This window comes from Homo sapiens, chromosome 11 (assembly GCF_000001405.40).
Source record: "Homo sapiens chromosome 11, GRCh38.p14 Primary Assembly".
NCBI classification, from domain to species: Eukaryota; Metazoa; Chordata; class Mammalia; order Primates; family Hominidae; genus Homo; species Homo sapiens.
The window spans coordinates 10,293,500-10,310,456 of NC_000011.10; the positions used below are offsets into that span (position 1 = coordinate 10,293,500).

Sequence of the window (16,957 nt, forward strand, 5' to 3'; positions counted from 1 at the left end):
CGTTCCTTGGGGAGGTCACTAGGCCCCCAACAGCACAGGGGTGAGTTAGCACTGGACTCTCAGCACTTCCTTTCGGAGAGGACAACCCCCTGCGTCACTGGTTACTCACTCAGGATGCAGGGCAGAAGTTTATCCCCGAGGAACTTAGCACAGTTGGCTCCCGCCCTCCCAGCCTTGCGGTCCTGGGCCCAATCTCAGGGCTCTCTCTGCCCCGGGTACCCTGCAGCCTCCAGCGGGAGGGTCGCGAGACCCCAACTCGCCTCCGGCCCGCCCAGCGGGTGCGCCCAGGGGCTGGGCAGACGCGGCGTCTTCCCTCCCCCTACCGTCGTGCCGGCCCCCCCACGCCCACCGCCAGGCTCAGCCCAGCCGAGAAGGCCGGACGCCGACCGCCCGCTCCTCCGAGACTCGGCCTGGCCCTCCCCGACGCCCGTCCCCGACGCCCGGCCCCGCGGAGCCCACTGGACAGCGGCCGGGGGGCGGGGAGGCCCGGGGGCGGTGCCGCCCCACACCCTTACCTGGCTTCTCGTGGTCATAGCCTACCACGATGAAGTAGTCAGCCAGCCGGGCCATGGCCGCCGCCGCCGCGCTCGGGAAGCGGGTCCCCGTCGCCGCCCTCGCCGCCGCCGCCCACCCGGCCCGGGAGGGCTCAGCATTTTCCCTGCAGCGGCAGTAGCGGCAGCGGCAGCGCTTCAGCCATGTTTGACAACCGAGGCGCGCTCTGCGCTTGCGCGGCGCCTAGTGCCCGCTCCTCCCCCGCCCCCACCCGCGCTGGCTCGGCTGCCCCAAGCCCGGGCGGCGAGCCCACCTCCACCCTCCGCGGGCCTCGCGGACTGCTGCGCTGGGGGAGTGGGCGGTCGGGCGTGTTCCCGCCACGCGCCGCCACCGCGGCCCCTGGAGGTGGTTCACTTTGAGGCCTGGATGCTGCTTCACGGCCCCCTCTGCCTCCCTATTTTTCCTAAAGCAGGGGGTCCTTCCTTCCGCCTTCTCTATTCTGTTTGGATTTGGAAGAAGGGATGTGGAGAGTTGAGGGGTCACTTGGAAAGCTGGCTGCTTCCTCTGCTCCCCACCACCACCAAAGATGAAATTCTCCCGCCCTCGGTTGGAAGCAAGGAATTTGCATCGACAGGGCTTTTGCTGCACGTTTCCTGTTTATGTTGTGTAGATGGGAATTTTAGAAACATGCCACCGAGCAGACGGGGGAGGGAGAGGCTTTTACGCAATCCTCCAAGGAGCCTCGGGTTTCAATGCCGGGTGGGCCGGGGGCGGTCGGCCTGGGCTTCCCCCGGAGCGCCCGGGAGAGCCAGATTCCACCGAGGAACGCGGCATCCCCGGGATCCTCCCGAACTGGGCTGGCCTCTCCCTGGGGAGCCCCGCACGCCTCGGCTTGCTTCCCTCGCAGCGGTCCCAGGGCTCTCGCAGCCCGAGCAGGTGGACTTCCAACTTCCCTGCTCAAACATGCACAAAAATGAATAGATGGTCCCGTCCTTCCGTCTCGGGATTATCAAAGTCGCTTGCTTTTTTGTTGAACCTCCTATTGACCATTTCGAATTTGGCTGGTGTGACATTCAGGTGAACTCACTTTGTCATTTGTTAATATCTCACGAAGTTTTAGTAGAATTTGTACAAGTGGTAGACCAAAGTTTTGGAAATCTCCGTGGTTTAGAAGTTGTCTTTGTGGTTGCTTATCACTGCTCACTATTAATTGAGGGTTTGATCCTTCATATTTACACATAAGACAAGGCCTCTTAGCAAAGCGTCTAGTATATAGTAGGTGCCTACAAAATATTTTAAATGAGTAAATGTGCGATTTTCCCCAACGACCAGCAGGAAGCCGCAATGGCTCCAACTCTGAACTGAGAGAGTTGACATCTCAGCTCCTGAAGATTTACTCTGCTGTAATTTACTATTTCCCCTTTCTCTGCCACACTTGTTTCATCTACAAATTGGGAGGGTTGGGCTGCACTAGAACTGAAACTGAAGGAATACTTTAACTCCAGGACCTCTATGTCAGTTGCTAATGGTAAAACTGAATCAGCTGAATTTGCAAACGTGGAGGGAAGATAGTTTGATCCTGAAAATAATTAAACCAAAAAAAAAAAAACCTCAGTCATACCCCGTGCAGCAATCCTCTCTGTAACTTCCCTGAGAGCTCATCATCCAACTTGATCACTTTCAGTAAAAAGTAATCTTACTTCCTTGGGAGGCAGCGCATTCCACTGTTTAACAGCCCTATTGTTAGAAAGTTCTTCCTTATTATTTCAGAGTTGTCTTACTGTAACTTCCCCTGATTCTGCTCTCCGGAACTATCCAGAAAAAAAAAATCTATCTTCATATGATAGATTTTTAAGGCAGCTATCATATTCCTTCCCAACTTTTCTAAAAATAGGGCAAAATTCACATATTGTAAAATTAGCCACTTGAAAATGTAGAATTCAGTGGCAATTAAGTACATTCCCAATGCTGTACAACTACCATGTCTATCTAGTTACAAAACATTTTCATCACCCAAAAGAAAACCTCACAACCATTAAGCAGTCATTCTCATTCTCCCCTCCCACAGCCCCTGGCAATCACCATTTTGCTTTCTGTCTCTATGGATTTACCTATTATGAATATTTCATATTCATATCATACAATATGTGGGTTTTTTGTGTCTTGGTTTTTCTCACTTAGTATATTGTTCTCAGCTTGTTTACGGGCAGATACAGTACAAGGTTGTAGCATCACATTGAAGTATCAATACTTCATTATTTTTTATGACTCAATAATATTCCATTGTATATTGTGTTAGACTGTTCTCACGGTGCTAATAAAGACATACCCGAGACTAGGTAATTTATAAAGAGAAGAGGTTTAATTGACTCACAGTTCCACATGGCGGAAGGCAAGGAGAGCAAAGCGGCAGACAAGAGAGCTTATGCAGAACTCTCCTTTATACCATCAAATCTCATAAAACTTATTCACTATCACCACAACAGCAGGAGAAAGACCCGCCCCCATGATTCAATTACCTTCCACCGGATCCCTCCCATGACAGGTGGGAATTATGGGGTACAATTCAAGATGAAATTTGGGTGAGGACACAGCCAAACCATATCATATGTATATACCATATTTTGTTTATCTGGAACAACCCATATGGACATATGGGTTGTTTCCACCTTTTGGCATTGTGAATAGTGCTGCTTCAAACATGCATGTACATGTATTTGAGTACCTGTTTTCAATTTTGGGGATATATTCTTGGGATTGGAATTACTGGATTAAGTAGTTCTGTTACTACTGTTTTCCACAGTGGCTGCATCATTTTACATTTTCACCAGCAATGCACTAGGGTTCTGATTTCTCTGCATCTTTGTCAACTCTTGTTTTCCTGTTGTTTATGTTTTGTTATAGCTATCTTAGTGTGAAGTGATATCTCATTGTGGTCCTGTTTTGCCTTTCCCTAAAGACTAATGATGTTGAGGATCTTTTCATGTGTTTATTGGCCATTGCTAAATCTTCTTTGGAGAAATGTCTATTCAAGTCCTTTGCCCATTTTTTAATTGATTCTTTGTCTTTTTGAGGTTGAGTTGTAAGAGTTCTTTATATATTCTGGATACTAGTCCTTGTCAGATATATGATTTGCAGATATTTTCCCATTCTGTACGTTGTCTTTTCATTTTCTTTTTAAAATTGTTATGCCCTATTCCCCCCCCCAAATATTTCCTATTTTTATTTTATTTTTCATTTTATTTTTATGTAGAGATGTTGTATCATGATGTTGCCCAGGCTGGTCTTAACCTCCTGTCCTCAGGCAATCCTCCCACCTAGCCCTCCCAAGGTACTAGGATTAGAGGCATGAGCTTCCACACCCAGACTTCATTTTCTTGATAATGTCCTTTGGCTCAAAAAAGTTTTTAATTTTGATAAAGTCCACTTTTTTAGTTTGTTTCTATGCTTTTAGTGTTATATCTAAAAAATTATTGCCATATTAAAGGTGAGATGAAGATTTACTGGTTTCCTTCATAGTTTTAGCTCTTTAGTACTTTGACCCATTTTGAGTTAATTTTGTAGTGGTAAGGGGTCTTGTTTTACCTTTTAAATGTCTTGGCTTTTATTTCATTTGCAAGTACTCATTTAAATTATTTTAATTTTTTAAAATCAAAGTTTATTGTTTTTAAGCCTAGAATCAAATGCTATTCTGCTTTTAGGCATATTTCATCTGTTACTGTCATAAGTAGACTTCCAGTCCATTTGCAAATGCCCATTTTGTCACACAGAGATTTTAACATATCCTAGGTACATGTAGAAAGGCACTGTGTGTTTGTATATACATGTGAACATATTTTGTATACACTAAAGCTGTGCTTTGCTTCTCAGCCAACAGCTGCCAGCCTGTTGAAACTGATAAGCCCTGACAAGGCAGCCTGATTACTGAGGTTGGCTGAAAGCCAGACCATCCCCTACAATAACCACCATCACCTTTCACCAAAGAGAGAGAGAGTAAAGCAAGCCCAGATTTGTTTTCCTGAAGGCTGATGGGAGCAGGAAGGGAAGAAGGGTATGTAACACTATCATGATGTGTATGTGGCAGATACCTTTCTTTTTTGCTTTAGAAGACGAAATAGATGGAATGCGGTGGCTCACACCTGTAATCCCAGCACTTTGGGAGGCCGAGGCAGGTGGATCACCTAAGGTCAGGAGTTCAAGACCAGCCTGACCAACATGGTGAAACCCTGTCTCTACTAAAAACACAAAAATTAGCTGGGCATGGTGGCAGGTGCCTGTAATCCCAGCTACTTGGGAGGCTGAGGCAAGAGAATTGCTTGAACCCAGGAGGCAGAGGTTGCAGTGAGCCAAGATCGCGCCATTGCACTCCAGCCTGGGCAACAAGAGTGAAACTCCCGTTCAAAAAATTAAAATAAAAAATTTTAAAAAAGACAAAATAGAGCTAATTATCAGTGAGCAAGGCTTATCAGCCCATTGCCCCTAGTGGGCTATTGCGGAGTAAGTGGTTTGATCTGTACAGTCATTTCAAGTGCTTGCTGTGGTTAGCCACAGTAGTTCAAGGAGGCAGTATGAGAGTCAGACTTGAGCAAACATCACCAGGCAGGGCTGAGGCCTCTTCAGATCGTCTCTACCAAAGCATAACAAAGGAGACTATGCAGCTGTGGTGGAAAATTCCCTGATCCATTGCTATATTTTCAACCATTTAGTTCCCTAAGCAAGAAATTTAATGAATCTTACCCTTGACAGCTGCCTCTCAGCCCCACATTCATCACTCAGTCCTATTGTTCCTACTTCCCAAATATGTCCGCTTCTCTCCACCCTCACTGCCACCCCACTAGTTTGAGCCGTTATCACCTTCTACCTTTATTATTGCAATAGGTTCTTAACTGTTTTCCCAGCTTCACCGATGGTTTCAAACTTTCTATATAGGTAAAAGTTAAGGACAGTAAGCAGGTTATTGAACCTGTCTCAAAATTAAATTTGTATAGCAAACACACCATTTCTACCTTGAGTGTGTGTTTGGGGTGCAAAGAAAAGGCTTCATAGATGACGTAGAAAGTGTCCTGGCCAGGTGTGGTGGCTCACGCCTGTAATCGCAGCACTTTGGGAGGCCAAGTTGGGCGGATCATGAGGTCAGCAGATCGAGATCATCCTGGCTAACACGGTGAAACCCTGTCTCTACTAAAAATACAAAAAATTAGCCAGGAGTGGTGGCGGGCACCTGTAGTCCCAGCTACTCAGGAGGCTGAGGCAAAAGAATGGCGTGAACCCAGGAGGCAGAGCTTGCAGTGGGTCGAGATGGCACCACTGCACTCCAGCCTGGGCAACAGAGCAAGAGTCCATCTCAAAAAAAAAAAAAAAAAAAAAGGAAGTGTCCTGCAGTTGCGGTCCATGTGTGATGAGATGAATGGTTGAATCTTAACATTCATTTGAAGTACCCCTGACATTAGCAGCTACAGTATATATAGGTACTGTAAGAGTTTACAAGCTACTTTTACTTAGATCACATGTTTGATGAGCAGGACTGGCTACATAATATGTGGAGTCCAGTGCAAAATGAAAATGTAGGACTGCCTGTTCAGAAATGTTGGAGAATTTCAAAACAGCTTCAGCAGAGCATTCCACCAAGTGTGGGCTCTTCTGAGAGCAGGCCGTGTGCTACTGAACAGAGTGTATGTCAGTGAAGCTGGTGAACTTTAGGATGGAATGAGTATGTGTATGTGGGGAGGGGGTATAATAAATGTTATGGGGGGACTAGACTCTCTGCAGTCTCTCCAGAGTACCACCACCGTGCTGCTTCCTTTCTTGCACCTTTCTAATCTATCTACCACATTCCATAGCCAAAACGATTGTTTAAATAAATGTATATCAGATCATGTCTCTCCTGTCTTCAAACCTGTCAATAGTTTTCCATGTCACCATAAATAAAGTGCAAAATCTTCATGTCGGAAAGGGTCCTATTTACTCTGACCCTGATGACCTCTTTAATCTCATTTCAGGCCTCTTTTCTCTATCATTCTATGCATTCCTATCAAACAGGACTCCTTTCATTTTTTCTAATGTACCAAGTTCTTTCCCATCTCTGAGTGTTTGCACATGCTGTTTCCTCCATTTCGAATATTAGATCCCCCTAGTCTTGCTTTTTCTTCAGAATACTTAACACAGTTTATAATCATGTAAATACATAATTCTGATAAGGATTTGTTTATATCTGGCTACGTCACTAGGCTGTAAGCTCGTTGAGGGTAAGTTTGTTGATGACTGCATTGGTGATTACTGTATGTTGAGAACTTAGCACAGTGCTGGGTATATAATATATAATCAGTAAATATTTGTTGAAAGAATGAAAAAACTATCAATTCATTCAGGCTTATAAATCAGAATTGCTTCTTGGCTGAGCACAGTGGCTCATACCTGTAATCCTAGCACTTTGGTAGGCCAAGGCGAGTGGATCTCTTGAGATCAGGAGTTCAAGACCAGCGTGGGCAACATGATGAAACCACATCTCTATAAAAAGAAAAAAATATATATAAATATATATACATATATAAAATAATTGCTTCTTTCCAGGTGCTTCTAATCTGATATCACAGGATCCCTATCTGGAGACAAGTAGCATGATGGTTGCTTTCATTAACACCATTCTCTTTGGCTATGGATGATTCAAATGGCCTAATCATCTCTTTTATCATCCATTCATTAATGCCATTTATTGTGCCCTCTGTAGCAAATTTCTCTTGAAGTAATTTCATTTTGTCCTGTTACAGGTATTATTGTAACAAGCTTCTTTAGGTTTACTACTTTCTCTTCTCTCTCTCTCTTTTTTTTTTTTTTTCTTTGTAGGGATGGATTTTTGCCATGTTGCCAGGCTGGTCTTGAACTCCTGAGCTCAAGAGATCCACTTGCCTCAGCCTCCCAAAGTGCTAGGATTACAGGCACGAGCCACTGTACTGGACCATCTCTTCTCTTTCATTTGTTCTGCAGTAATTTACCTTATTTAAGCTTCAGGGAGGTTTGCCTTCTGGCTTTACCATGTACAAGAACTGACTGTTACTCTCTGCCTGTTTTGTACAGGAGCACAAAAATGAGGCAGCAAACGCATTACTTTTCTTTATGCTGATGCTCTGGAAAATATTATGCCCTAAAGAGGGAGGTTAACTGTCCTCCTTGCCCTTACCACTATAAACCAGACAGAAATTTAAAATATGGAAACAGTGTTTTTTATTCTGTGTCAGGGTTTTAAACTTGGTCAACCTCCCGGAACTGTATGCCTATTTTATACTTTAATCGGTTTATGTACATGTTCATTTTTCTGGAAAGGATCTATATTTTTATTAGGTCCTTAGAGAAGTCAGAGATCCCAAAAAAGTGCCCTGGGCTTTGTATCCTGCTTTACTTCTCCTTGTAAGTGATCAAATCCACAAGGCTGATTGTGTTCTTTCTCTAAATCACTTTGTGTTATGACTTCAGGATGCATCTTGAACTTTGTTTTCAAGTGAACTTTGTAAACAAGTCCTCAGCTTAAAAGACATTTTGAACTATATTAATAATAAATGCATCATAAAATTTCCTGTTTGATAAAGGAGGCATCTGAGATAATTATGCAATGCACTTAGCTACTCACATTTTAGTTATTCTTATTAATATCATTGATATTTATTATTTTTCAATGCTTCTCTGAAAGACCTGAGTATGGCCACTCTGGCTTTAAGAACTGTGTCCACAGTGCTAGCTGAGAAACCACTACCACATATTTTTTTAAACTCCAAACTTTACTAAGAATCAGGCTTGGATATAGGGCCTAAAAATCATTCAATTGGAATGTGAAGAAGTTGAAACACCATTACGCAAAAACCCTTTAGCATATGTGTATGTGTGTCTCCCTAATGTCAGGATGTACACATTTATTACAGTGGTTTGGAGGTTTATTTGTAATCTGACCTTTTGAAATTCTGGAGCACACAAAAAAAGTAGATCTTCATTAACAAGGATTTTTTTTTCTTTTTCTTTTCTCTTTTCTTGCCAGAAATTTAAAGATGTTTCTTCCTTCACTTCCTTCCTTCCTTGTACTGTCCTTGCTCAACGTGAATCTACAATCACTGCCACTTGAATGGATGCAACTTATGTTAATAAATTGCCAGGATCAGAACTCCCACTGCAGCATTTCCTTCTCCATAGAACCACTGAACCAGAAATGCATTCTAGTGATTTTTTTTTGTCGTTAACGATGATTAATTAAACAAACTCGAGATTTCACGAGAAAAAACATAGATGCCCAGATTTAACAAACTCCTTATCTTTTTTCGACTTAAACCCACGAAGCTTTGGGGAGCACTCTAGCCCCTGCTACTCACCCATGCAAGCGGGGTGCGCGCTCGCGCACACACTCACTCACTCCAAGATAGGGGCTTTCTAGGAAAATACTTTGAGCTGCCAATCCAAGATTTTACTTAAAGAATTGACTTGGTTCTCAAGTGACAGATCTCTAAGTGCCAGAGCGGCAAAGTGCACCAGGCTGATAAAGTGCATGCCAAGACTCTCAGGTGGGAATTCTTGTCACAGCCAAGAGGTTGCTGGCATAGGCACCCGAGGCTGGCAGAGCCTAGCCTCTGAGTCTCCCTACACTCCTGGGCTTGCTTTCCTTTTTGAAGCTGCCTGCAGCTCAAAGAGGAGTTTGAACCAAGGGCACTTGCTTCGCGATCCTCCTGGCAGAGCCACAGCTCAAGTTTCCCCCACGGAATCACGAGCTTTTGTAAAGGGCAGCGAGGAGGCAGCGAGGTGGCAGCGAGGTACAGTCGCAGAGTTCTCTGGAGAACGAACACCCCCGCCGCGCCCCACCCCCCAGGACTGGTGGAGACTGGAAGGAACGAGTCCAGACCACGGGACCTTCCCTGGCCGTGGGCCGACGCCTAGCTGTCCTTGACCTCCCCAGCAGTCGGAGGCGCGCGCGGGAGAAATGAAAGTAAAACCTGTCCTGGCGCGGAACCAAGTGGAAGCTGGCGACAAGTAGGTCGCATCCTCAGAGCGACTGATAGCCAGTCCTGGATCTGCGCGAAGAGCTTGACTCGCAGAGGATAAAGTGAAAGGAAAAGGAAATGGGAGACAAGGGAGAAGAACAATAGTTAGGCTGGGGAGGCTCCTGGTCACCGAGCAGGCGTTCAGTAATAGCTGCTGTCTGCGGTGCAGACGGACTAGTCGCCCGGCCAGGCCACTTCGGTGACTGCCCTGCGCCCAGCCGGGCGGCCGGATCCAGACCAGTGCGCCGCGCTGCACTCCTCTAACCCTCCGCGTCCCAACCCCTTACCAGGGCCAGGGTCAGGGCCCGGAATCTGTCCTCCGTCCTCAGATGGAATTCAGGTCCGCTCAGGTGACTCCTTCCAGGAAGAGTCCTTAAATAACTTCCGCGCGGCCATTTCTTCCCCAGGTGCAATGTCCACTGTTGAGTCCCGAGAGTGAAAAGGCAGCTAAGCCAGCAGTGCGCGGCCCAGACAGACCACTCTGGGCAAGGTCCGCGCGACCCACTGCCCAGCCGCCTTTGCACCGGAGCTCAGAGCCATATGGCAGAGTAGGAAGGAAGCTTAAAGGTCTGCTGGGGACCGGCTCTAAGATGGGGACTCGAGAGATGGGACATGACTCGCCCACCTTCACACAGCGAATTGCCGGGAGGTGAGGACTAGAAGCCTGTTTGGCTAGTGGTCTCGCACCTTTGGCCTCTCCGTCGAGTCGCTGGGCTTCAGGACATTCGATTAGAGGAGTGGTTAGTAGGACCCCAGAAACCCACAAGCACGAAGCAGGAAGCCCCGTGGCTTAGCCTTTCCTTCCCAGTTTGGCCCCCAGGAGAGAAGTAAGAAAGAGAAGAAGCTGTGATGAAAGAGCACAAACGGGTGACAAACGTGTCTAGCGTGATTCATCATGAACAGGCACAAATTCTTTGGGCGGGGGCTAGGACTCTCCTTTGCCCCTTGAGAAGTTGGTGACCCCAGCCTAGAGGAATCCACGCCGCGCCCCAGTCGGCCGTGCTAGCGTGTCGGGCCGAGTAGGGACTCTGCTGCTTCCTACCTGCAGGGTGACTTCCCCTCTCTGCAGATACCTCCCCTCTCTGAGCTTGAATTTTCTACCTGCTGAAATGGGAAAAGGAATGTTACCTTCCTTGCCTGACTCAAGGGTGGCTGTGAAGCTCAAAGTAGACTGGGATGTGGCCGTGCTTGGTAAACTGTAAAATGATTAGCATACGTGAAGCGTTAGTGTGCTCCCTGGCAGTCAGTCCTCACGTTTACGATGGATTAATGAAGGCAGCCAGGCACAATCTCAGGTTATGACCTTATAAGGCATAATAGGATTACAAGGAGGCAAAATGAAACAGTATATTTCCTCCTAATTTTGGTTATTCCTATGTTTCCAAATAGAAATGAAAATTCTGAAATTTCAGATAATTCCCCCCTCCAAATCCCAATTCTCAATTTAGCTTTTCTGAGCCTTGTCCCTACCGTGAAATCTTACTAGCTCACCCCGAAACGCCGGGGTCTTGGTCCTCTGGGGGACTAGTGAGTCCTGCTCCTCTCGGCTTTGCTCCGTCCCTGCCCCGGCCCCTCCGCGGGAGTCTGGGGTCGCGGCCCGGTCAGGCGCCAAGCCGGCAGGGGGGCGCGGTCCACTTGAGGCCACAGCTCCCCAGGTCCAGGGCTCGGGCCATCCGCGCTGTCCCTTCCGCGGGCTCTTGCTGTTCTTCGCCAGGAGGCTTTGCACTCCGGGCCGCATGGGTCCTGGATAAGGACCTCAAGAGGTTGTAGTGGCGCCCCTTCGCTCCGGCGTACTGTCTGAACCCTGTGCCCAAAGAGGGCTGTGGCAGTTCCTGCACCAACCGCCTGGAGCCCATACCTAAGCCCTCTGGGCACGAGGGACCTCCTCTCCCCCGCTCCCCCCTCCCCCCATCCCAACTCCAGCCCCAAAGGAAGCAATGCGCGCGTCCGAGAGCAGGAGCGCGCGTGGCTGAGGAAAGAAAGGGAAGGCAACCGGGCAGCCCAGGCCCCGCCCCGCCGCTCCCCCACCCGTGCGCTTATAAAGCACAGGAACCAGAGCTGGCCACTCAGTGGTTTCTTGGTGACACTGGATAGAACAGCTCAAGCCTTGCCACTTCGGGCTTCTCACTGCAGCTGGGCTTGGACTTCGGAGTTTTGCCATTGCCAGTGGGACGTCTGAGACTTTCTCCTTCAAGTACTTGGCAGATCACTCTCTTAGCAGGTAGGTGCCGCAGACCCTGCGGGTTAAGAGGTGGGGTGGGGGGCAGTGCTTGCCAAGGCCCTAAACTGGGAGCGCTGGGTGAGGGGAACAACCCACTTTGGAGGGTTCTCTGAGAGATAGATACACCCCATATCCTGGGCCCAGCTCGTGCACACAGCTGGAGGTCCAGAGACCCAGTCCCCTCTGCTCCGTCAGCCAAGTTCCAAGAAGTTGAGCAGAGACCCTCTGGGAGCCTGGCGGGGTGCAGCGGCCTCCCCTGCGGGGCCTGTCACCCGGCCGGCGCGTGCAAACGCCTCTGGCGCCTCTCTGCGCGGAGGGAGATAAGCGTCTGAGCCAGGGAAAGCGCGGGCTAAACCCGCCTCGCCGGGGCCCCTGCCCGCCCTCCGTGCCCCGCCCGGGCGGTGCAGCTGGCCCGGGTGCTCACGCTCGACTCTCTTTCTTCTTTTCCAGGGTCTGCGCTTCGCAGCCGGGATGAAGCTGGTTTCCGTCGCCCTGATGTACCTGGGTTCGCTCGCCTTCCTAGGCGCTGACACCGCTCGGTTGGATGTCGCGTCGGAGTTTCGAAAGAAGTGAGTCCGGGCAGCGCCTTCCCCCTTGCTGGTACCTGGCAGGCAAGGGGAACTGACCGTTGGTCCCGAAGGTCTAGAAGTGAATGGGAGCAGGGACAGGCCTGGGCGTCACCTGAACGCACGCGAATCGGGTCTGCTTGTGTTTTCCAGGTGGAATAAGTGGGCTCTGAGTCGTGGGAAGAGGGAACTGCGGATGTCCAGCAGCTACCCCACCGGGCTCGCTGACGTGAAGGCCGGGCCTGCCCAGACCCTTATTCGGCCCCAGGACATGAAGGGTGCCTCTCGAAGCCCCGAAGACAGGTAACTACGCCCTGTGCTGTCCAGGGACGGGAGGGAAGGAAGGTGTGCGGGAGGAGTTCTCTGTCTCCACTCCCCTGGCCCGGGGGATCGTCGGGGCTGGACCGCAGCTCAGATGGCGCGAGCAGTTTCCAGCTCCCTCTGGCTCTAGAATGGCTCCCGTTCCCGGTGTTGGGGCCAAAGCTCTGCTTGATGGGGTCTCAAGTTGCCTTTCTTCCCCCTCCCCCCGCCCGCAGCAGTCCGGATGCCGCCCGCATCCGAGTCAAGCGCTACCGCCAGAGCATGAACAACTTCCAGGGCCTCCGGAGCTTTGGCTGCCGCTTCGGGACGTGCACGGTGCAGAAGCTGGCACACCAGATCTACCAGTTCACAGATAAGGACAAGGACAACGTCGCCCCCAGGAGCAAGATCAGCCCCCAGGGCTACGGCCGCCGGCGCCGGCGCTCCCTGCCCGAGGCCGGCCCGGGTCGGACTCTGGTGTCTTCTAAGCCACAAGCACACGGGGCTCCAGCCCCCCCGAGTGGAAGTGCTCCCCACTTTCTTTAGGATTTAGGCGCCCATGGTACAAGGAATAGTCGCGCAAGCATCCCGCTGGTGCCTCCCGGGACGAAGGACTTCCCGAGCGGTGTGGGGACCGGGCTCTGACAGCCCTGCGGAGACCCTGAGTCCGGGAGGCACCGTCCGGCGGCGAGCTCTGGCTTTGCAAGGGCCCCTCCTTCTGGGGGCTTCGCTTCCTTAGCCTTGCTCAGGTGCAAGTGCCCCAGGGGGCGGGGTGCAGAAGAATCCGAGTGTTTGCCAGGCTTAAGGAGAGGAGAAACTGAGAAATGAATGCTGAGACCCCCGGAGCAGGGGTCTGAGCCACAGCCGTGCTCGCCCACAAACTGATTTCTCACGGCGTGTCACCCCACCAGGGCGCAAGCCTCACTATTACTTGAACTTTCCAAAACCTAAAGAGGAAAAGTGCAATGCGTGTTGTACATACAGAGGTAACTATCAATATTTAAGTTTGTTGCTGTCAAGATTTTTTTTGTAACTTCAAATATAGAGATATTTTTGTACGTTATATATTGTATTAAGGGCATTTTAAAAGCAATTATATTGTCCTCCCCTATTTTAAGACGTGAATGTCTCAGCGAGGTGTAAAGTTGTTCGCCGCGTGGAATGTGAGTGTGTTTGTGTGCATGAAAGAGAAAGACTGATTACCTCCTGTGTGGAAGAAGGAAACACCGAGTCTCTGTATAATCTATTTACATAAAATGGGTGATATGCGAACAGCAAACCAATAAACTGTCTCAATGCTGATTCATTCTCTCGGCTCGGCTCTCACGTCTAGGAAGGGAGGGTGCCCTGGTCCCGGCCCGCCCAGGAGCCTTGGGGTCCCGCCGCCGGGCTTGGGAAGGTGGGACAGCGGCGCGTGCAGGTGCTGGCCCTACTCTGAGCGGGCTGAGCTGTCACGAGCTCTGTTCTCTGTGTGGGGCGCGCAGAACACGTGTCCTGGGTGCGAATCAGGGCTTCGCGGAGACGCCCGAGGTCACCGCCTGGCGTGGCGGCCGGCGGGGGGTGGGTAGGGGGAGCCCTAGTGGGTTGGCGAGCCTGGACTCTCGGGTTGCGCAACGGAGTCCTAGATTTATAGGGTTGCTCACAGAACCCGGCGCGAAAGCGAGCTTCGAAGAGTTGGGGTGGTCTCTGAGGCCTTCTAAGAGAGGCGTTCCCCCTGCCTGCCGCGGTTGTTAAAGTTCCAAGCCGCCCTAGCAATGCGTGGGGACACCTCCGGAAAACCCAGTAACCCCTAGTAACCCCGGGTCTGCCCGGGCCTGAGCGCCCGCGGGCCGCTGGCTCATGGGCGAGGCTGTAGCGCCCCCTGCAGGCAGCTGAGACAGGCCCAGCGCCGCCAAGCAGTACGTGCGGTTTAATAAGTTCTCCTACGTGGGAGTCAGCACACAGCCTTAATGAAAGAGGAAAGAAAGAAAAAAAAAAAGAGAGAAAGAAACAGTTTGCAGATGCCAACCAGGGCCGTCCTCCTACACCCCCCAGACCTGCACCGCGGCTCCCTGTTCTGGGACAGTGACTCAGCGCCCACACGCTGCGCTGCGTGCAGCTGCCGGCTGGAGGCGGGCAGGACGGACGTGCCGGCGGAACCGTGAGCCTCCGACGGCCTGAGACCTTCATTGTTCCGCCTCCCCTAGCCGCTCACCTCTTCCTTCCTCCTTCCCAAGCCTTTTTTCATTTTTTTCTTCACTTTTCTCCAGCCTTCCTCTCTCTCTCTCCTTCCTTCCTCCTTGCTTTCTTTATATGCCTTATCTTCTGAGAAGGTTGACCCCAGTTCCGGCGATAGACGGACACTAAGCCCCCCTTGAGTGACTAGAAAGGCAGGGGACATAGGAACAGTTAGGACATAAGGGAAGAGTAAAGAGAGGGACCCCTGATTTTGATTTCAGGGTGCCCTGTTTGTCTCATCCAATATCCTGAAGACCCAAGATGGAGACCAGCTACTTGTCCCTTCCAAAAAGCTTCCCTGGCCTTAATGTCAGTGCTTGTAGGTGATCTCAGAAACCTCCCTGGTGAAGAAAACCTGAAGGTGAGTTTGGAGAATGGAAATGTTTCCAGGGTAGCCTACGGCCTTCTGGGGCTTTTGCACATTACAGGGTCCCCTCCGAGGGGCTAGGATGTTTAGTTTCTTGCAGAAGAGGACTGCATACCCACTGAGAGAGAGGGGCCCTACTCTGGGGTCCAGAGATACCTCATTCCAAAGCAGTTTCAATTTAGAAGAAAGTAAACTCGAGTACATAGAATTTCCTTAAGACCATACAAAACCTCAGTTTGGGCACCTGGCTGTTGACAATGCCAATCTCATATAGTTTATTGTCCTGTTTGATCTTAATAATTGTGTGAGGTGTGCCAGAATTGAGGAGGTTAGAAATGCAGCTACAGACCATTCTTGTCCTCAAGGGCCTTTCAGAAAAAGATTCACTTTGTGGGAACTCTGTGCCAGGCACTGAGAAGGTACCAGGCATGTATGAATGAAAGAGTGACTCAAGATTCCTGTCATGGAATTTCTGTGCCAGTGAGTGGGTTCTGGGTGGTCTGAAGGGGCTACAGAAACTGCAGAGAGCAGCAAACACTTAAGCCTCGCAGACAGTGGCGCAAGATTACTCCTTTCCTTGAGCCAAGGTTGTCCTGTAGCCACAAAGCACTCCAGCCAAACCTCACCTTGGCACAGCGTCAGCCAGCAAACAAAGCTGCCAAAGGCAGGTTGGGCACAAGCTTCGGGCGGTTGTGAGCAGGGAACAGGCGTCTAGCCTTGTGCTGAGGAAGTCTTATGACTTGAGGGAATCCAAGGCAAGTGAAGGAGATGGTTCAGCCCTAAGACAAAAGAGGCAGCTGCTCAGCTGGAGTCCTTCCCGCTGAGAATCCTGTGACTGGAGACATGTGCGAGGAGACAGAGACCCTCCTAAGACCAGTTTGGTATGAGTTCAGGATTAACCAAAGGTCACCATCAAACCCCGGGCTCTTCTCTTTGAGGTGCTGAAGCTTATCAGGATAGGGACTATTGATGCCAAGAACACATTGTTTATCAACAGTGATGAGTCATTTGTGAGCTGATTCGACCTGTCCACAGCTGAGGAGTAGTCACAGCTTTTATCTTTAGCTACTGTTGCTTGCTGTGGGAATGATACCATACATTTGTAATCAAACACGGGGTATCAGGCAATTTCTTGAAAAGCCAACACCTTGGCTGAACAGCCAAGGGTGAAGGGGAGTGATGGGGAGGAATGGAAACAGATTCCTTTTTTAGCACTTGCTTGGTGTCAGATATTCTCTTTGCCACTTTATACACCTTATCTCATTTAATTCTTACAACAGCCTTGTGAAGTAGGTGTTATCTGTTTATTGATAAGGAAACAACCTCAGAGACATAAAGTAACTCAGCCAAGGTTACACAGTGAATAATAAGCGGTGGAGCCTGGATTTGTACCCAAATGCTACAGGCTATTTTGATCCTCTAAAGGCATATGGAGTAAAGTGGGATAATTTTAACGTTTAGATTCTCCAGCCAAATGTCCCCAAATGTCCTCTAAAACAGGGATAGCTTGTATAGGTGATTCACACCTGTGGTTCTGAAAGATTTACATGAGGGCTGGTAGAATAGGGAAGGAGAGCTGCTTCAAGCAGTAAGCTCAATGAGTGCAAAATAAATAAATGAACTGAGTTTTAAATTCTTGGTCTTGGTTTGAAGAAGGGATTATAAATCAACCTTTTTCCTCTCCTGAGCTAAGCCACTGACCTCTTTGGTTTGAATTGCCAAATATAGTTAAAATATACACTGAAGCTTCAAGAGCTGGTTTCGGGGGGGAAGGCCT

The 16,957-nt window shown here is 49.5% G+C and overlaps 2 protein-coding genes and 1 long non-coding RNA gene across 13 annotated transcripts in view, besides 16 other annotated features; 2 read left to right on the plus strand and 1 right to left on the minus strand.

The window, feature by feature from the left end:
- The window catches only part of SBF2 (SET binding factor 2), a 526,174-nt gene extending 514,832 nt beyond the window's left edge, over positions 1-11,342 (minus strand). For 8 of the 11 annotated variants that reach the window (NM_001386342.1, NM_030962.4, NM_001386339.1 and 5 more), the window contains exon 1: positions 516-720. In NM_001386342.1, coding sequence (NP_001373271.1) covers positions 516-570 — 55 coding nt within the window. In that variant the 5' untranslated portion in view covers positions 571-720. Of the gene's footprint in view, positions 1-515; positions 721-6,906; positions 7,000-9,796; positions 10,339-11,000 lie in introns of those variants that run through there. The other 3 variants (NM_001425069.1, NM_001425070.1, NM_001424318.1) reach the window with 2 other exon arrangements.
- Positions 118-257: a silencer, noted in NCBI's record as "silent region_3139". NCBI's record gives its function as "represses an Ori minimal core promoter by ATAC-STARR-seq in GM12878 lymphoblastoid cells {active_cell/tissue: GM12878}" and the evidence as "EXISTENCE:reporter gene assay evidence [ECO:0000049][PMID:35858748]".
- Positions 298-377: a silencer, noted in NCBI's record as "silent region_3140". NCBI's record gives its function as "represses an Ori minimal core promoter by ATAC-STARR-seq in GM12878 lymphoblastoid cells {active_cell/tissue: GM12878}" and the evidence as "EXISTENCE:reporter gene assay evidence [ECO:0000049][PMID:35858748]".
- Positions 408-687: a silencer, noted in NCBI's record as "silent region_3141". NCBI's record gives its function as "represses an Ori minimal core promoter by ATAC-STARR-seq in GM12878 lymphoblastoid cells {active_cell/tissue: GM12878}" and the evidence as "EXISTENCE:reporter gene assay evidence [ECO:0000049][PMID:35858748]".
- Positions 808-857: a silencer, noted in NCBI's record as "silent region_3142". NCBI's record gives its function as "represses an Ori minimal core promoter by ATAC-STARR-seq in GM12878 lymphoblastoid cells {active_cell/tissue: GM12878}" and the evidence as "EXISTENCE:reporter gene assay evidence [ECO:0000049][PMID:35858748]".
- Positions 5,166-5,215: an enhancer, noted in NCBI's record as "active region_4427". NCBI's record gives its function as "activates an Ori minimal core promoter by ATAC-STARR-seq in GM12878 lymphoblastoid cells {active_cell/tissue: GM12878}" and the evidence as "EXISTENCE:reporter gene assay evidence [ECO:0000049][PMID:35858748]".
- Positions 5,296-5,375: an enhancer, noted in NCBI's record as "active region_4428". NCBI's record gives its function as "activates an Ori minimal core promoter by ATAC-STARR-seq in GM12878 lymphoblastoid cells {active_cell/tissue: GM12878}" and the evidence as "EXISTENCE:reporter gene assay evidence [ECO:0000049][PMID:35858748]".
- Positions 9,282-9,361: an enhancer, noted in NCBI's record as "active region_4429". NCBI's record gives its function as "activates an Ori minimal core promoter by ATAC-STARR-seq in GM12878 lymphoblastoid cells {active_cell/tissue: GM12878}" and the evidence as "EXISTENCE:reporter gene assay evidence [ECO:0000049][PMID:35858748]".
- Positions 9,382-9,561: an enhancer, noted in NCBI's record as "active region_4430". NCBI's record gives its function as "activates an Ori minimal core promoter by ATAC-STARR-seq in GM12878 lymphoblastoid cells {active_cell/tissue: GM12878}" and the evidence as "EXISTENCE:reporter gene assay evidence [ECO:0000049][PMID:35858748]".
- Positions 10,486-10,545: a silencer, noted in NCBI's record as "silent region_3143". NCBI's record gives its function as "represses an Ori minimal core promoter by ATAC-STARR-seq in GM12878 lymphoblastoid cells {active_cell/tissue: GM12878}" and the evidence as "EXISTENCE:reporter gene assay evidence [ECO:0000049][PMID:35858748]".
- Positions 11,036-11,135: a silencer, noted in NCBI's record as "silent region_3144". NCBI's record gives its function as "represses an Ori minimal core promoter by ATAC-STARR-seq in GM12878 lymphoblastoid cells {active_cell/tissue: GM12878}" and the evidence as "EXISTENCE:reporter gene assay evidence [ECO:0000049][PMID:35858748]".
- Positions 11,316-11,365: a silencer, noted in NCBI's record as "silent region_3145". NCBI's record gives its function as "represses an Ori minimal core promoter by ATAC-STARR-seq in GM12878 lymphoblastoid cells {active_cell/tissue: GM12878}" and the evidence as "EXISTENCE:reporter gene assay evidence [ECO:0000049][PMID:35858748]".
- ADM (adrenomedullin) lies at positions 11,574-13,898 on the plus strand. Its single transcript, NM_001124.3, has 4 exons — positions 11,574-11,730; positions 12,181-12,299; positions 12,450-12,599; positions 12,833-13,898. The coding sequence occupies exons 2-4, from the start codon at positions 12,202-12,204 to the stop codon at positions 13,140-13,142; spliced, it is 558 nt and encodes a 185-aa protein (NP_001115.1). The 5' UTR covers positions 11,574-11,730; positions 12,181-12,201; the 3' UTR covers positions 13,143-13,898.
- Positions 12,046-12,095: a silencer, noted in NCBI's record as "silent region_3146". NCBI's record gives its function as "represses an Ori minimal core promoter by ATAC-STARR-seq in GM12878 lymphoblastoid cells {active_cell/tissue: GM12878}" and the evidence as "EXISTENCE:reporter gene assay evidence [ECO:0000049][PMID:35858748]".
- Positions 12,116-12,165: a silencer, noted in NCBI's record as "silent region_3147". NCBI's record gives its function as "represses an Ori minimal core promoter by ATAC-STARR-seq in GM12878 lymphoblastoid cells {active_cell/tissue: GM12878}" and the evidence as "EXISTENCE:reporter gene assay evidence [ECO:0000049][PMID:35858748]".
- Positions 13,183-13,477: a silencer, noted in NCBI's record as "tiled region #210; HepG2 Repressive non-DNase unmatched - State 2:TssF, and K562 Repressive non-DNase unmatched - State 10:DNaseD". NCBI's record gives its function as "represses a minimal TATA promoter and a strong SV40 promoter by Sharpr-MPRA in HepG2 and K562 cells {active_cell/tissue: HepG2 | K562}" and the evidence as "EXISTENCE:reporter gene assay evidence [ECO:0000049][PMID:27701403]".
- Positions 13,815-13,914: a silencer, noted in NCBI's record as "silent region_3148". NCBI's record gives its function as "represses an Ori minimal core promoter by ATAC-STARR-seq in GM12878 lymphoblastoid cells {active_cell/tissue: GM12878}" and the evidence as "EXISTENCE:reporter gene assay evidence [ECO:0000049][PMID:35858748]".
- Positions 14,415-14,684: an enhancer, noted in NCBI's record as "active region_4431". NCBI's record gives its function as "activates an Ori minimal core promoter by ATAC-STARR-seq in GM12878 lymphoblastoid cells {active_cell/tissue: GM12878}" and the evidence as "EXISTENCE:reporter gene assay evidence [ECO:0000049][PMID:35858748]".
- CAND1.11 (uncharacterized LOC100130460) overlaps positions 14,814-16,957 on the plus strand; it is a 122,361-nt gene continuing 120,217 nt past the window's right edge. The window contains exon 1 of the long non-coding RNA NR_103765.1: positions 14,814-15,174. This is a non-coding gene — a long non-coding RNA (uncharacterized LOC100130460). The remainder of the gene's footprint in view (positions 15,175-16,957) is intronic.